Source organism: Homo sapiens, chromosome 10 (genome assembly GCF_000001405.40).
Source record: "Homo sapiens chromosome 10, GRCh38.p14 Primary Assembly".
NCBI lineage: Eukaryota > Metazoa > Chordata > Mammalia > Primates > Hominidae > Homo > Homo sapiens.
The window spans coordinates 25,498,009-25,515,730 of NC_000010.11; the positions used below are offsets into that span (position 1 = coordinate 25,498,009).

At 39.2% G+C, this 17,722-nt stretch overlaps 1 protein-coding gene across 3 annotated transcripts in view, besides 1 other annotated feature; it reads left to right on the plus strand.

Moving 5' to 3' along the window:
* GPR158 (G protein-coupled receptor 158) overlaps positions 1-17,722 on the plus strand; it is a 427,229-nt gene that overhangs the window by 323,008 nt on the left and 86,499 nt on the right. The gene's annotated exons all lie outside the window — the stretch shown is intronic.
* Positions 10,492-10,786: an enhancer, noted in NCBI's record as "tiled region #12818; K562 Activating DNase matched - State 8:EnhW". NCBI's record gives its function as "activates a minimal TATA promoter and a strong SV40 promoter by Sharpr-MPRA in K562 cells {active_cell/tissue: K562}" and the evidence as "EXISTENCE:reporter gene assay evidence [ECO:0000049][PMID:27701403]".

Below are 17,722 nucleotides of genomic sequence, written 5' to 3' on the forward strand. Positions count from 1 at the left end.
AAATGTTAATTTGGTGAAAGGAAAGAAAGTATGAGGAGCAGAAAGAGAAAGAGGAAGGTTTTGTTTTGACCTTTGCTTAATGTATATTGTACGCAGAAAAGTGCACATATGAGAAGTGTGCAGCTTAATTTTCCACAAATGAACACACTTGTGTAACCAAACTACAGTATTACCAGGCTTCCAAACACATGCCTTACTCAGTTCCCTTTCAGTTACAGTCTGCCAGAGTAACCACTATCCCGACTTCTTTCGGAATAGATGCAGTTTGCCTATGTGTGTGCGTGTTGTGTAAAAATGCAGTCATTCATTATGTTGAGAATTTTAAGGGAAGCCCAGAAGGCACACTTAGCTCTAAATACAGACCTCTTTGTAATGTAGTGGTTCTCAAATTTGGTCACACATTGGAAGCATCTAAGACCTTTACAAATTACTGACATTTGAGTCCTACATCAAGGGATACTTACTGTGATTGGTCTGAGGCAGGGCCCGGGAACCAGCATTCTCAAGGCTCTCCAGATGATTCTAATGCGCACCCAAGTTTGAGAATCACTTCTGTAATGTGTTGAAGGTAAAGCCATAGATGTTTGCACAATATCGGAGCTAGTTTTGTGCCCAGCTGTCTAATATTTGTAAACCTGGGCTTTCTGTGTCTAGATTTTGGGTTGTAGCTTGGCAAGAGAAGTAGATATTACATATGACTAATAATCCTCCCACTGTCTGTCACCTGGGCAGCAAACCATTTTTGAATGTAGGGCTGTGTGGGAGGTGAATAGGGTTGCTCGCATTAGAACAGCCTTTGCCTAGAAGATGTTGGAATGCCATCAGTAGGTGCTGGATGGCACAGCTGTCGGATTTGTGTCAAAAGGCAATATATCCCCTGCATTGAGACTGGAGCGCAATGACTCATTTGCTTGAGGACTTTCGGAACCCTACAAGCCTGCAGGGCCTCTTCTCGTGGCCTAAGGATGCCTTCAGGTGTGACTAAGATATTTCAGACTTGGAAGAATACAGAATTGAATTCTCAGGAATCTGGTTAAGTGGGAAGGGCAGAAACATCTCAGTTCTGTGAAATTATTTATATTTTAGCCAGAAGATTGTCATAGCAGCAAGCTGATAAAAGTCGATATATTTCATTTATTTTCTTTATATTTTTCTAAAAGTTTTCTGATTTCAGTAAAACTGTAACAGAATTATAATTCACAAAAAACCAATAACATCGCAATTTCCAGAGTCTGGAAGAATTTCATTATGATTCAGTGAGAGGACAATTTACCTTTCCTGAAATACAGTGCGCTCACAAGCTCCATACCCAGGGCTCCAAACCCTTTTGCAAAGTCTCCTGATGAGTGGTTAACCCACCATTCAGAAGAGCGGGTGCTGGGATGCCTTGGTACCAAGGTGGTATGTGGAATCTCAGCCAAGAGCCTAGGAGGCTTCTTCCTGCTCTGTGAAGATCACATGTTTGTTCCTTGCCTTTGTGTATTTCCTTTGAACTAATCACCTGTTTGCTTTTGGAGGATATAGCAGTTAACAAGAGACAAGACTCTTGCTCTCATGAAGCTGATATTCTAGCAGAGAAGACAGAAAATGACATTAACTAATAAACATTTCAGATAATGATAGATGCTATAAAGAATACAAAATGGGAGAGGGGTGTTGGGTTGAGGCATTAGAAGGCCACTCTGCAGAAGTGACATGTGACAAAAGAAATAAATGAAGACAAGGGACCACTCTTGTGCACACACCCACAACAACAGCACTCCAGGCAACATGCATAGCAAGTGGAAAGCCTCGAGGCAGGATAGGCTTTGACATGGAGGATGGAAAAGGGGCCCAGTGTGCCTGCGTCACTGTGGGAAGGGAGAAGAACAGTAGGAGGTGAGCTCAGAGAGGCAGACGGGCTAACTTACCTAGGGCCTTGGTGACCATAGGGAGCTGGATTTTATTCCAAGTTCAATGAGAAGCCTTTGAGCCCAACAGGTTGATTGCCTTCACTTGATGTGATTTTAGCATATGATTAACCAGATTTTTAAAAGAGACTAAATCCATTTGTCTCGTAAGATCAGACATTTGTGAATTTTCTTTTCACTTACATATGAACTTTTCACTTACATGTGAACTTTTCACTTACATGTGAACTTTGATGGTAACAGAGGAAGATACGACAGATGTGTGTTTGAATTCCTATCCTTTAACCTGGTAGTAATTTGAGCTTGTAGTTTCTGGCAGTCATTACTTTAATTGAATTTGGTTTGTTGGGAGCTGGAGACTTCTTTAAAAACCTGGATTTTATACAAAAGAATTCATGTACTGCAGATAAATATGGAAAAAGGTGCCTGTGTGAGGCCTTCATTGGATTTTAGAATGATACTTGCTTTTAAATTGACGGTCTACTTGGATTTTTTCAAAATTCCTGGGGATTACTACGTGCCTTTTGGCAGAACAAAAAGGAAGAAATGAAAGCACAGATTGAATTGCTATCACTTCTAAATCCTGAAAGAAGTCAGACAGGACCCTTATTAAGTTACTCTAGAATGTGACATATATAACCTTTACACAGTAATTTATTTGAGATGATCAATCTTCACTAAATGATCAAGTGTTTGTTCGCTTGGAATTAAACCATAAATGCTGTTAGATTTTTCTCTGTTTTCTTTGCTGACCTGTGGAACTGGCTGGGCTTAACATTTAGGCACATGCATGCATTTAAATCTTGGAGAGGTATAGACAGCGTGAAGTAACTGATAAATGAACAGCATTTACAGTCACAAAGTTATTGCACATGGCAGCTTATTGGCATATAAATTAAACTGCTGCAAGGTAGAAGAATGGAAGCAAAAATAGGTTGCTGTGTTAGATCAAATTAATTTGAGAATCATTTCAACATTTTATTTCTCTGAAAAGTTTGCTTGGAGGTCTCCAGCTATGTTTGGCATCAAGTCACATTCATACTGAAGGAAAATGTGCTTTAAGAGTCAAAGTTATACAACATGCATTGGTATCAGCCTATCGTACGCGTAAATGGAGGTTGCTTTATGGAGATAATTTCTGGTAGGAGATAGAAGCCAGGAAGAGGCACAGGGAAGATCAGGGACTCCGACCTGTTGAGCAAGCTGGGTAGGAGAAATCCCCCGGGTCATGGCACAGAATAGAAAAAGTCAAAGGCGGCTTTGAGAAGAGAGTTGCCGGGAGTGGGATAGGTTAGCACCAGACAGCGTGGGGACCCCTCACAGAGATGCTGCACTGCGCAGTCTCACTCGGGGCATGGCGTCCTTCTACTCGCTCATCCTTCAAGTCTCAGCTTAAATGCCACTTTCTTCAGAGGAACCTTTCCTGACCGTCTTTATCAAAGGTCTCTCCTCCCATGATTTTCTATGATTGAATCTACTTTTCCTTCATGATAAATTGAAATTATATCTTTATATGTTTACTCATGTATTGTCTTTCTCTTACTAACTTACAATTTGCACTAAGGCAGGCTCATGTTTTCTTTGTGTCTCTTCAGCATTTAGCTCTGCCTGGCAGATAGTAGGCACGTATGAAATACTTGCTGAATGAACATAGAACCTGCAGGAAAACAGTCTGAAAACTGCTGTGGACTGGGGCTGCACCCCACATGAAACAGACTTGGGAATGCGGCTCTGGCCAGTGTGCGCTCAGAGAGACGTGTGTATATTCCCGACTCAAGTAGCCGGAGCAGACTTGTACCTGCAAACTGGGTTGATGAGGGTGCTGGACAATATCTCATAAATTATCCTAATAACCTGTGAAATAGACTGAGGGAAATCATAGTTTCCATTCTAGTGTTTAGAAGACAGAACAAACACCAGAAAAGAAACTACCCAACTTACGTGGCTAATTTGAACTTCAACACCAGTCCCTCGTCTCCCTTTCTCATCTCCTCACACTGCTGTCCGTATGCTTGGTACCCCCAGCACTTGCAAACTGTTTGTCTCTCCCTACATACACCATACCAGGGAACTGTTTCTGAGCTCTATAACGCTTCTGCCTCCAAAGCAAATCTGCTACTCTCCTCCTGGGTGCTGCTAGAAAACACGCCCAGTGCCCTGGAAGATTACAGGCTCTAATTCCTGCTTCTTGAGATGAAACAATTCAGCCCAGGGCTAGTTCCAAAGCAGGAATGCCTGAGTCTGAGACTATTTTAAGCTTCCCCTGAGACAGAGATGGGCTTATATAACCTCAGACCAGTCATGATTTCCACAGCTCACTGCAGAGCTGATTAAAGTAGATATAGCCAGGGTATTTCCACCATCAACCACCCTCCCTAGGACCCGTGACAGGGGAGAAAACTTTCATGTACTGAGCATCTCCCATGTGTCAAGCATTTTACATTTATCATCCTGTACACGGTGAACTGAGGTAACTGTGGGGTACAACCAAAACCCTGCGTGAGGCTGTCATTTAGAACCACATTCACAGAGCTGCCCTGGAAACAGCAATGTGAGTAAGGGGCAAGGTGGGACCACTTTGCAGCCCAGTAGTCCTCCAAACACTGAAAATAATCTGGCTTAGTTTCCATGTTCCTGCTGGGTAATGAAGCACCAAACAGTCGGTAGGTTTTTCAGTATGGGGGACTAACTTGCAAAAAGTACAATGAGCAAACTAAGAGGCAGTGAGTTGCTAATTCCCAAGGACACCATCTATAGGCAGGACCATGTCTGCTGTCAAACAGACTGTGAATAAATTTCAAGCAAGGAAAGGCTCTGAGGTACATTTGCAGCTTCTCTTCCCTGCATGTGTACCTTTCACATATAAAGGTGCTGGGAATTTATCACATTCCTTTCTATAGGCACTGGAATGGCAAAAATGATAAAGGTGGGTAGTAAATTGGCTGGTTCCTTTACAAAAAAAGGGCACCAAACACAGGATTACTCAGCAATTCCATAGAAAGTTCCCAAGCCACCTTTTTAAAATTGTTATATAGTGCTATCAAAAAGGCAAAGCTTCTCTTTTGGTAACATGTTTTAGGGAAGATCATTTTAAAATCCTTGCTCTGAAATCATGAGTGTAACTTTATAGTTGTAGGAAAATCTAGGAATATATATGAAATTAAAATTTAATTGAGGTCCACGTGCAGTGGCTCATGCCTGTAATCCCAGCACTATGGGAGGATCTAAGGGGACCAGGAATTCAGGAGCTCGTGACCAGAAGGGGCAACATAGCAAGACCTCATTGCAAAAAAAAAAAAAAAATTATAATCAACCGGACATGGTTGCACATGCCTCTAGTCCTAGCTACTTAGGAGGCTGAGCTGGGAAGATTGCTTGAGTCCAGGAATTTGAGGTCGTAGTGAGCTATGATCATGCCACTGCACTCCTATCTGGGACAAAAAAATAATTTAATTCAGTTCCAGTTTAGTTTAAAAAAAAATCCCAACCTTTGTCATGGATATCTAAGTATCTGTGGACATATTGCCCTTTGCCTTGTAACAGATTCTGCATTATTAAGAGTGGAGAAAAATAGAAATGGGAGGAAAGTGCAGTCAGCATAGGCAAGGAATTTAGCTCTCTTACTAAAGCAGAATTCAAAATCTCTACTGTGTCAGTATTACAGGGAGAATCTCTGGGTATATTATTCCTTACCAGTTCCCTGGAATGTATTAAACTCTGCACAAATAGGCATGCTGTGATCTCAGGTTGCAGTTTTTGTTTACTGCATGTCACATGATTGAAAACCAAGTTCTTGTCCTGGCTATGATGTTGCTTCCTCAGAAAGCCTTCTGGTCTACCCACAGCTCCCACTCTCACTGTTGTGTTCTCTCTTTGCATGCTATTTCTTTCTTTAGTCACATAATATTTCATAATATCAATTTGTTTACTTATTTATAGTGTCCCCCCTTCATTTGGTTTCAACTCTATTTTCACTTTTTTTTTTTTTTTGAGACAGAGCCTCGCTCTGTCACCCCAGCTGGAGTGCGATGGGGTGACCTTGGCTCACTGCAATCTCTACCTCCCAGGTTCAAGCGATTCTCGTGCCTCAGCCTCCCAAGTAGCTGGGATTACAGGTGCCTGCCACCATGCCCAGCTAATTTTTGTATTATTAATAGACATAGGGTTTCGCCATATCAGCCAGGCTAGTCTCAAACTCCTGATCTCAAGTGATCCACTTGCCTCAGCCTCCCAAAGTACTGGGATTACAGGCATGAGCCACCACACCTGGCCCTATTTTACTACATTTTTAATTTACTGATTTATTCTCCTTTGCCTAGCATAGTGCCTGTTATATGAATTCAAATATTTGTTGAATAAATGAGTGAGTGAATGGCAGAATAAGTGAATTAGTGGGGCTGCCCAAGTACCCCTGCCTTTTTCTAAATATATTGAGCCCCCCATTCCTTAACTTGCTTTTATCTTTATTTGCTCCAAGGGGTTGACTGCCTGAGCCCTGTCTCACAAGAATTGACTCTAATCTCTTAGCCTTGTTTGGTTCTTTACTTCCTAGCCTTTGGCTAGCTTCCAACATGGTGGATAGCATCTTCACATCCATCATCTGAAGGTATGTTAAACAGTCACCTTCACAGTCAGGACCAACAAAGGCACATCTCAACTCTGCTGCCCGCTGGAGCCCTCCCACTGGGTCTACTTTCCCGGAGAGAAGTTTTCTTCCCCGAGTGCCTGACTTCATTGAGAATCTTGTTCTTTAGGTGACATCTCACCTCCTACCTGCAGGAGTGTGGCTTTTTCCTACTGACCTAACCGTTTTATCACAGCTGAATACTCTTAAGTTTATATAAATTTTTTTTATCCTTTCATGGGAAAGTTTTCATTCTATCATGTTATCATGTGCACTGGATTAGGAACTTGAGTATTCGTTCTGGGTCAGCTATTACCTGTGTGGCTTAGATGCAGTAAGTATTGAATTGAGAGCAGTTGCAGTTCAGTGCGGAGTTGAGAGCATGAGCTCTAAAGTAATACTGCCTGGAATTCAACTGCAGCACCTACTAGCTGTGCAGTCTTAGGAAAATTATGTAATCTTTATATTCCTCACTTTTCTCATCTGTAAAATGGGGGCAGTAATAGTGCCTGCCTCATAGAATTGTTATGAGGATTAAATTAGATGATACGTGTAAAACTTAGAACTGTGCCTAACACATAATAGACATTGTATAAACATTAGCTCTTATTTTGATAATGATGTTGACAATGAAAGCCTTTTTGTGTATTTTCTGTTCTCTGTTGATTTTGAAAGTAAAGGAGATGTGTGAGGTATGTTCTCATGTCCCTTCTGGATTCAAATAAATCCAAGAGTCTATGCTGCTCTGTTTCTGAGCACAGAATTCTAAGACTGTAGAATAACTCCTTAACATAAAGGCAGACAAATTCAGAACAACCTCATTCTGGTAAACAAATCCTTTTTACTCTTGCCTCATGCTTTAAGATGATTCCTCTGGGTCCACCTCGGTGTCTGCATCTTCTAGATCTCCAAGTCCCTATGGTTTCTCTCATCTCTGGATTTCTTTTGCACCTTTTACTTCAGTTCCATCTATCTTCCACATAATTGACAGGATAAATTTTCAAAAACATGAGTTTGACTAGGTTACTCTACTGCTTACAACCTCTCAGTGGCATCTTATCAACCGTATGATGAAATCTCAGCTCCTTGGTATGGTATAGTATGCAAGGCACTCAGAGACAATGCTGTCCTCAGATCCAGCCTCCCTGTTAGCACCCTCTACTCCAGGAAATCTGATAGTGCTTGTGCTTCTTCACAATCACAAAACTACCCCACGCCTTCATGCTCTTGTATGTGCCTCATGCAAACACTCCTTCGTTTTTTTTCAACTGGGTAGTTCCTACTTGTCCTGTAAGGCTCAACTCAGGCTTTTTGTCATCAAGAAAGTTTTCTGACCCAAGCTTTCCTCCCTGTGCATGTCCTTCTACCAGTACACGTTTGTCATTGAGTTGAAATGATGTAGGCACAGCTTTGTCTCCATCTGTAGACTCTGAATTCCTCCATAGCAAATGCAGGTCTTAGCTTTCTTTGTGGTCCAACACGGTATCTGACACATTTTAAGCAATCAATCAATGTTGAGCTATTTTGGATCTCTTGAACAACTCGACACTAGGTTCTGGCTGTAGCACACAAGTGTGATTTGCCTTTAAGTGCTATAATCCCACCATAGCCAGTTATGGATCATTTTTGTTACATGACTTCTATGCTTCTAAAAGTAACCATCAAGGAGGAATTTCAGGAAATGTTTATGGTGATAGTAGCATTAAGATAATAAGATATGCTGTCCATACATATTACTCAAAGGATGACATTCTGTTAAGTCTCATAAAGTTATAGTCATGAAGAGATTATTGAAAAACTATCCTCCAGAAAGTGGACCCCAACTTAGGCAGATCTCTCAGGCTTAAAGGGATAGGTATCCATTGGTATAGTCCTAATCTAACCCAACAGCAGGATAGCTAAATAAGCATATGAAAATATAAGTAAAGAAGAAAGTCATCTTTGAAGCATTCTATTATATTTTGTTGAAACAATAGGCACTGTTAACCACAAACCCCTTTTATCACAGGCGTTCTTCATACCAAAGTTCAAAGACTCACATAAAGAGACAACTCTGCTGTGTGTTCACGTTCCTCTGACAAGTGCAGTAATGAGTTTCTTAGGGATACATCTTGAACTAATCATCAGTGAGGGCTGATAGCATGATACAAAAATACAATTCAGGAAAATCCATACAGGCCCAGCCAATGTAGCATGAGTATGCAGTACTCTGATGATAGTATGCCTTAATTCAGATAATGAAGAGTAGCTGGGAGAGTATATTTTTCTTATTTCTTGCAACTTAGCTTTTGCTACATATTGCTTAACATAGAATTATGTATCTGATATGCAAAGTACAGACATTATGTGTTATTATTTGAGGGTCAACCTCACAAAGGAGTTTTGACTGTAATGTCCTATTCATCAAAGTCTATGACACATACCACTAGGCTATGCTGTGATAATGAACAATCTCAAACTCTTAATAGTTTAGAACAAGAAGGTTTGCTTCGGGTTCATGACATAAATCTATCATGCATCAGCCAGGGCCTCTGGTCAGCATGCTGGTTGTCCTCATTCCAGGATCCAGACAGCTACATGGAGCATTGCTAGCCATAGGACAGATGGAAAGGAGAATGTGGCAAAGTACACACTGGCTCATGCAGCTCCCAAGAAAAATCATATGGCTGTTCCTAATTTTAAGAGGAAGAAGTGGAATGGCAGTCTAATCATTTATTGCCTGCATGGAAAGAGAAGAATATTTTTGAACAGCACTAAAGATGACTACACAGAGCTGAGGAGCCTCGTTAAAAAGTCACCACCCTTCAGAAAGAAGATAGAACCAGGAAGCACACACATTCAGAGATGTTTCTGTCTGTAAACAGTTTGGGGGTAGATAGAAAACACTATCTATAAAACATAGGTGATTGGGAGCCCAAATGTATATGCAACAAAGCAGTAATTTTCATGTTGTGTTTGTACAATTCGAGAAATCTATGCCATGCTGCACAGATTCTACCAGCAAAAGGAAACATAAATCTGACTATAGAAATATGTTTATAGCATTCTTAAAAGCCAAGCTATATATCACAAAGGAAGAAAAGATAATACTGTATCAGGGAAAATCTTTTAAAAAATTTAATGACATTGCAACAATGATCTGACATGACAATCACTCTGGTATGTTATTTTAAAATAAAATTATCAGAGTCATCAGTTAATTTCTCTTTATGGCAAAGGGGAAAAGGAAAATTCAAAGCTCCTTTGACACACAAAAGAAGTCAAAGATTTATACTTCCGGAAATCTAGGATTCCAGCTTGACTGTTACCCAAGGCAATCAATTTGAATGCTTACTAAGGAAGAACCTACAATACTAAAGTTATATTCCATAAAATGTAGCCATAATTTCTGATGTGCAGGTTTTTTTTAAGTTAGTCATTTTCATGACAGAAATTTTATAAGGACGGTTTTTTAAGGTAACAAAAAAGGCGGGATGATTACGAATGGAAATTTCCACCTGAATTCCCATATCAGTCAAGGGACGGTAGTTGGTGTTTTTGTGTGTGTTTGGTTTCCAACTTCATCATAATTTTTAGAATTAGATGCTAGAATTTAATCTTTTTATTTATTTATTTATTTTTTTTGTAACTGCTGTTAACAAGTGACCATGAGATCTGTGGAGGAAGGAAAAGGAGAACACTTTTATCTTCAGAGAGGCAATCTGCAAATCAGGGAAAGTCACCTCCAGGAAAACTGAAACCACATGCTCAGAAGAGGGAGAGGGAGAGGGAAAGCTGGCATTCCTGTCTTTCAGGTCTGCCTTCCATGCATTTTTAGCAGGTTTGGGGAAAATTACGGGTACTTATAAGGGAAGTCAAGCACATATGCAGTAGGCAAACCTATATGTCACATATATTCTATGTTCATTTTAGGGTGGAGTTTTAACATTAAAATGAAGCGGAATTTGGCTTTTTACAACAAAAGGTGAACTAGAGGGTATAAAGGCATTTTGTGCACAGTCTCTGTATGCTGGCGGACGCTAGCTTGAGGCCTGTAGCTGTTTATCAGGAAAGAATGTTTGCAAGGTCAGTCTCCTGTCCAATCAGAGTTGCTGATGGGACCACAAGTCGGGGGTAGGGGAAGTCAGGTCAGCTGGCATCTGGCAGGTCACCAGGGTCAATTGGGAAACTCCTGGTTCAAGCTGTTTTGATAATGTTTTTTAAGTACTAGTTTCTGCTTACTTACAGGAAAGAAGACCTTATTGCAATTAGTAATATAAGGGTATTTGACCAGCCCCTCTCCCTGCTATGGCTGCTTGGTTCTGTTTCTGGTATGCTTTATTTTAGCCACAGGGAGTCCATTTAGTCTGTCAGCTGCAGGTATGTTTTAACACGCCTTAGCATCTTTTTTTCTCCCACTTACCTGTTAAGAATTTCCTTCACAAGTAGCTACTAGTTGGTAAAGTCTATGTGCTCAAAGCTATTGGCCTCGTTCAAGGATTCTTAGCTTTGGCACTATTGCCATTTTGGCCTAGATAATTCTTTGTTGGTGGAGGGGGTAGGCTGTCCTGTGCATGGTAGGATGTTTAGCAGCATCTCTGGCAACCACCCACTAAACACCAGAAGCACCGCCTCCCTCACTGTGATGATCAAAAATGTCTCTGGACATTTTCACATGTCACCTGGGAGCACAATCGCTTCTGATTGATTGAGAACTACATGCTTAATTTAATCAGAATCCACCTCTGGGGCAATATATAGAGTAAGTGTCCCCTGAATATCATGGACTTCGTGCGCAGGGTTGTTTCAGTTACTATGGCTGCATAACAAATTACCTCAAAGCTTAGGCATAAAACAGCTACTTATTATGCCCGTGGAATCTGTGGGTCAATAATTCTGACAAGCTACTGCAGAAATGGCTTCTCTCTGCTCCCGGATGTCTGAGCCTCTTCTGGAAGACTTAAAGGCTTAGGATGACATTTTTCTGAAGGTTTCTCACTAAGACATTTACTGTTGGTGCTTGTTCTTGGCTGGGATGACTATAATAGCTACAGCTGTAACTGAAACATATACACCTATGTGTATTTTCTGTGTGGATGTTTGACTTCCTTACAAAACATGCCCATGTTCAAAGGGCAGGCAATCCAAGGAGAACACAACCAGGTGTAAGCTGTATTGCCTTTTATTTTATGATTTTTATTTTTTTATTTTTCGACGCAGAATCTCGCTCTGTCACCCAGGCTGGAGTGCAGTGGTGCGATCTCCGCTCACCACAACCTCTACCTGGGTTCAAAAAATTCTCCTGCCTCAGCCTCCTGAGTAGCTGGGACTATAAGTGTGTGCCACTGCACCTGGCTAATTTTTGTATTTTTAGTTGAGACGGGGTTTCACCATGTTGGCCAGGCTGGTCTTGAACTCCTGACCTCAGGTGATCCACCTGCCCTGGCCTCCCAAAGTGCTGGGATTACAGGCATGAGCCACCGTGCCCAGCCTATATTGCCTTTTATGGCTTAACTTCCAAAGTCCCAATAACATCACTTCCAGTATACTCTACTGGACGAGGCAGTTACAAGGTGCAAGGAGGTAAGTAAGCATCACATAGTAAGAAGAGCATGTGGGATGAGACATAGATCAGTGTGCTCATCTTTGGAAAATAGAGTCTTCCACAGAGTTGGACGCTTGAATAACATCTGAATTCTGTTGGTAATGAAGAAGAATAATTTTGTTCAGATAGACAACCAAGAGTGTTTCCGAATGTACCTTTATTTGATAAAATAGTTCAAAGAAAAATAAAAAAGTATATACTATATAGCTAATAAATTAATTCCAAAGATGATATTGTATAGGAGCTTCACATTTTAATAGAATAGCCATGTTGTAAACCCCTTAGTTTTACTTATTTTAGCATGATACGTAAATGAGTACAAAGGTGATAGTAATATTATTTGGCAGCTTAGCCCAGTACAATCTAATTGTTTAGATGAATTGTGGAGAATTCATCAAAGGACTTTGTTTTATTTATTTATTTATTTATTATGTTTTATTTCAATAGTTTTTTGGGGAACAGGTGGTGTTTGTTTACATGAATAAGTTTTTTAGTGGTGATTTCTGAGATTTTGGTGCACCCATCACCTGAGCAGTGTACACTGTACCCAATGTGTAGTCTTTTATCCCTCAACCCTGCTGCCACCCTTTCTGGGAATCTCCCATTATATCATTCTTACGCCTTTGCATCCTCCTAGCTGAGCTCCCACTTATGTGTAAGAACATACAATGGTTGGTTTCCCATTACTGAGTTACTTCACTTAGAATAATGGTCTCCAATTCCATCCGGGTTGCTGTGAATGCTATTATTTTGTTCCTTGTTATGGCTCAGTAGTATTCACAGTATGTATAAACCACAATTTCTTTATCCGCTCATTGCTTGATGGGCATATGGGCAGGTTCCATATTTTTGCAATTGCAAATTATGCTGCTATAACCATGCATGTGCAAGTATCTTTCTCATAGAATGACTTCTTTTTTTCTGGGTAGATACCTGGTAGTGGGATTGCTAGATCAAATGGTAGTTCTACTTTTGTTCTTTAAGGACTTTCCACGCTGTTTACAATAGTGGTTGTACTAGTTTATATTCCCACCAGCAGTGTAGAAGTGTTCCCTTTTTGCCACATCCCTGCCAACATCTATTATTTTTTGAATTTTTGGTTATGGCCATTCTTGCAGAAGTAAAGTGGTATCGCATTGTGGTTTTGATTTTTATTTCCCTGATCATTAGTGATGTTGAACATTTTTCATATGTTTGTTGGCCATTTGTATATCTTCTTCTGAGAATTGTCTACTCATGTCCTTAGCCCACATTTTGATGGGATTATTTGTTTTACTCTTGCTGATTTGAGTTTGTTGTAGATTCCGGATATTAGTCCTTTGTCAGATGTATAGATTGCAAAAATTTTCTTCCACTCTCTGGGTTGTCTGTTTACTCTGCTGATTGTTTCTTTTGCTATGCAGAAGCACTTTAGTTTAAGTCCCCTCTATTTATCTTTGTTTTTGTTGCATTTGCTTTCGGGTTCTTGGTCATTAAGTCTTTGTCTGAGCCAATGTCTAGAAGGGCTTTTCCAGTGTTATATTCTAGAATTTTTATGGTTTCAGGTCTTAGACTTAAGTCTTTGATCCATCTTGAGTTTTGTATAAGGTGAGAGATGAGGATCCAGTTTCATTTTTCTACACGTGGCTTGCCAATTATCCCAGCACCCTTTGTTGAAAAGGGTGTCCTTTCCCCACTTTATGTTTTTGTTTGATTTGTCGAAGATCAGTTGGCTGTAAGTATTTGGCTTTATTTCTGGGTTCTCTATTCTGTTTCATTGGTCTATGTGCCTATTTTTATGCCAGTACCATGTTGTTTTGGGGATTATGGCCTTACAGTATAGGTTGAAGTCGGGTAATGTGATGCCTCCATATTTGTTCTCTTTGCTTAGTCTTGCTTTGGTTATGCGGGCTCTTTTTTTGGTTCCATATGAATTTTAGGATTGTTTTTCCTAGTTCTGTGAAGAATGATGGTGGTATTTTGATGAGAATTGTATTGAATTTGTAGATCACTTTTGGCAGGATGGTCATTTTCACAATATTGATTCCACCAATCCATGAGCATGAATGTGTTTCCATTTGTTTGTGTTGAGTATAATTTTTTTCATCAGTGTTTTGTGGTTTTCCTTGTAGAGGTCTTTTACCTTCTTGGTTAGGTATATTCCTAGGTATTTTACTTTTTTGCAGCTATCATAAAGGCAGTCGAATTCTTGATTTAATTATCTGCTTGGTCACTGTTGGAATATAGCAGAGCCACTGCTTTGTGTACATTAATTTTATAACCTGAAACTTTGCTGAATTAATTTAACAGTTCGAGGAGCTTTTTGGATGAGTCTTAAGGGTTTTCTTTGTATACTGTCATATCATCAGCAAACAGCAACAATTTGACTTCCTCTTTACCAATTTTGATGCCCTTTATTTCTTTCTCTTCTCTGCTCTGGCTAGGACTTCCAGTACTATGTTGAATTGAAGTGGTAAAAGTGGTCAGCCTTGTCTTGTGTTCCAGTTCTCAGGGGGAATGCTCTCAACTTTTCCCTGTTCGGTATAATGTTGGCTGTGGATTTGTCATAGATAGCTTTTATTACCTTAAGGTATGTCCGTCCTGTACTGACTTTGCTGAGAGTTTTAATCATAAAAGAATGCTGGATTTTGTCAAATGCTTTTTCTATGTCTATTGACATGATCATGTGATTTTTGCTTTTAATAACGTTTATGTGCTATATCACATTTATTGACTTGTGGATATTAAACCATTTCTGCATCCCTGGTATGAAATCCACTTGATCATGGTGGATTGTCTTTTTGATATACTGTTGGATTCAGTTAGCTAGTATTTTATTAAGAATTTTTGCATCTGTGTTCATCAGGGATATTTGTCTGTAGTTTTCTTTTTTTGTTATGCTATTTCCTGGTTTTGGAATTAGGTTGATATTGGCTTCATAGAATGATTCAGGGAGGATTCCCTCTTTCTCTATCTTTTGGGATAGTGTCAATAGGATCAATTGGTACCAATTCTTCTTTGAATGTCTGATAGAATTCAGCTGTGAATTCATCTGGTCCTGGATTTTTTTTTTTTGTTGGCAATTTTTTAATTATAATTTCAGTCTCGCTGTTTGCCATTGGTCTGTTCAGAGTTTCTATTTCTTCCTGGATTAATGTAGGAGAATTATATATTTCCAGGAATTTGTCCATCTCCTCTAGGTTTTCTAGTTTTTGTGCATTCATAGTAGCCTTGAATGATCTTTTGTATTTCTGTGTTATCAGTTGTAATATCTTTCATTTCTAATTGAGCTTATTTGGATCTTCTCTCTTGTTTTCTTGGTTAATCTCACTAACAGTCTGTCAATTTTATTATCTTTTCAAAGAACTAGTTTTTTGTTTCATTTATCTTTTTTTTTTTGGTTCAATTTTATTTAGCACTGCTCTGATATTCGTTGTTTCTTTTCTTCTGCTGAGTTTGGGTTTGGATTGTTCCTTTTTCTTCAGTTCTGTGAGGTGTGACCTAAAATTGCCTATTTGTGCTCCTTCAGACTTTTGATGTAGGCATTTAATGCTATGAACTTTTCTCTTAACATTGCTTTTGCTGTATCCCAGAGGATTTGATATGTTGTGTCACTATTATCCTTCAGTTCAAAGAATTTTAAAATTTTCATTTTGATTTCATTTTTGACCCAATGATCATTCAGTAGCAGGTTATTTAATTTCTATGTATTTGCATGGCTTTGGGGGTTCATTTTGGAGTTGATTTCCAATATTATTCCACTGTGGTCAGAGAGAGTACTTGATATAATATCAATTGTTTTAAATTTATTGGGACTTGTCTTGTGTCCTATCATATGGTCTGTCTTGGAGAATGTTCCATGTGCTGATGAATAGAATGTACATTCTGCAGTTGTCAGGTACAATGTTCTAAACATATCTGTTAAGTCCATTTGTTCTAAGGTACGTTTAAATCCATTGTTTCTTTGTTGACTATCTCGATGATCTAAGAGCTGTCAGTGGAGTATTCAAGTCTCCCACTATTGTGTTGCAGTCTGTCTCATTTCTTAGGTCTAGTATTGTTTTATAAATTTGGGAGCTCCAGCATTAGGTGCATACATATTTAAGATTGTGATATTTTCCCGTTGGACACTTTTTAAATCATTATATAATGTCCCTCTGTCTTTTTTTAACTGCTGTTGTTTTAAAGTTTGTTTTGTCAGAAATAAGAGTAGTTACTCCTGCTCACTTTTGGTGTCCCTTTGCATGGAGTATCTTTTATCCTTGCCCTTTACCTTAAGTTTATGTGAGTCCTTATATGTTAGGTGAGTCTCGTGAGTCTCTTGAAGACAGCAGTTACTTGGTTGGTGAATTCTTTTCCATTCTGCCATTCTTCTTAGTGGAGCATTTATGCCATTTACATTCAATGTTAGTATTGAGATATTGAGATGTGAAGTACTATTCTATTCCTCATGCTGTTTGTTGCCCGAATACCTTCTTTTTCATTGTGTTATTGTTATATAGGCCCTGTGAGATTTATGCTTTAAGGAGGTTTTATTTTGGTGTATTTCAAGGATTTATTTCAAGATTTAGAGCTCCTTTTAGCAGTTCTTGTAGTGCTGGCTTGGTTGTGAATTCTCTTAGCATTTGTTTGTCTGTAAAACACTGTTTCTTTCCTTCATTTATGAAGCTTTGTTTTGCTGGATACAAAATTCTTGGCTGATAACTGTTTTTGTTTAAGGAGGCTAAAAATGGGACCCCAATCTTTTCTAGCTTGTAGGGTTTCTGCTGATAATTCTGCTGTTAACTTGATAGATTTTCCTTTATAGGTTACCTGGTGCTTTTGCTTCATAGCTCTTAAGATTTTTTCCTTCATCTTGACTTTAAATAACCTAATGACTATGTGCCTAGGTGATGATCTTTTTGTGATAAATTTCCCAGGTGTTCTTTGAGCTTCTTATATTTGGATGTCTAGATCTCTAACAAGGCTGGGGAAGTTTTCCTCAATTATTCCCTCAAATGTTTTCCAAACTTTTCTTCCTTAGGAACACCAATTATTCTTAGCTTTGGTCATTTAACATAATCCCAAACTTCTTGGAGGCTTTGTTCATTTTTTAAAAAATTTTTTGTCTTTGTTGATTAATACAAAAGCCTTGTCTTTGAGCTCTCAAGTTCTTTCTTCTACTTGTTTGATTCTATAGCTGAGACTTTCCAGTGCATTTTGCATTTCGCTAAGTATGTCCTTCATTTTTAGAAATTGTGATTGTTTTTAATTTATGTTATCTATTTCTTTTTTTTTTTATACTTTAAGTTTTAGGGTACATGTGCACATTGTGCAGGTTAGTTACATATGTATACATGTGCCATGCTGGTGCGCTGCACCCACTAACTCGTCATCTAGCATTAGGTATATCTCCCAGTGCTATCCCTCCCCCCTCCCCCCACCCCACCACAGTCCCCAGAGTGTGATATTCCCCTTCCTGTGTCCATGTGATCTCATTGTTCAATTCCCACCTATGAGTGAGAATATGCGGTGTTTGGTTTTTTGTTCTTGTGATAGTTTACTGAGAATGATGATTTCCAATTTCATCCATGTCCCTACAAAGGACATGAACTCATCCTTTTTTATGGCTGCATAGTATTCCAT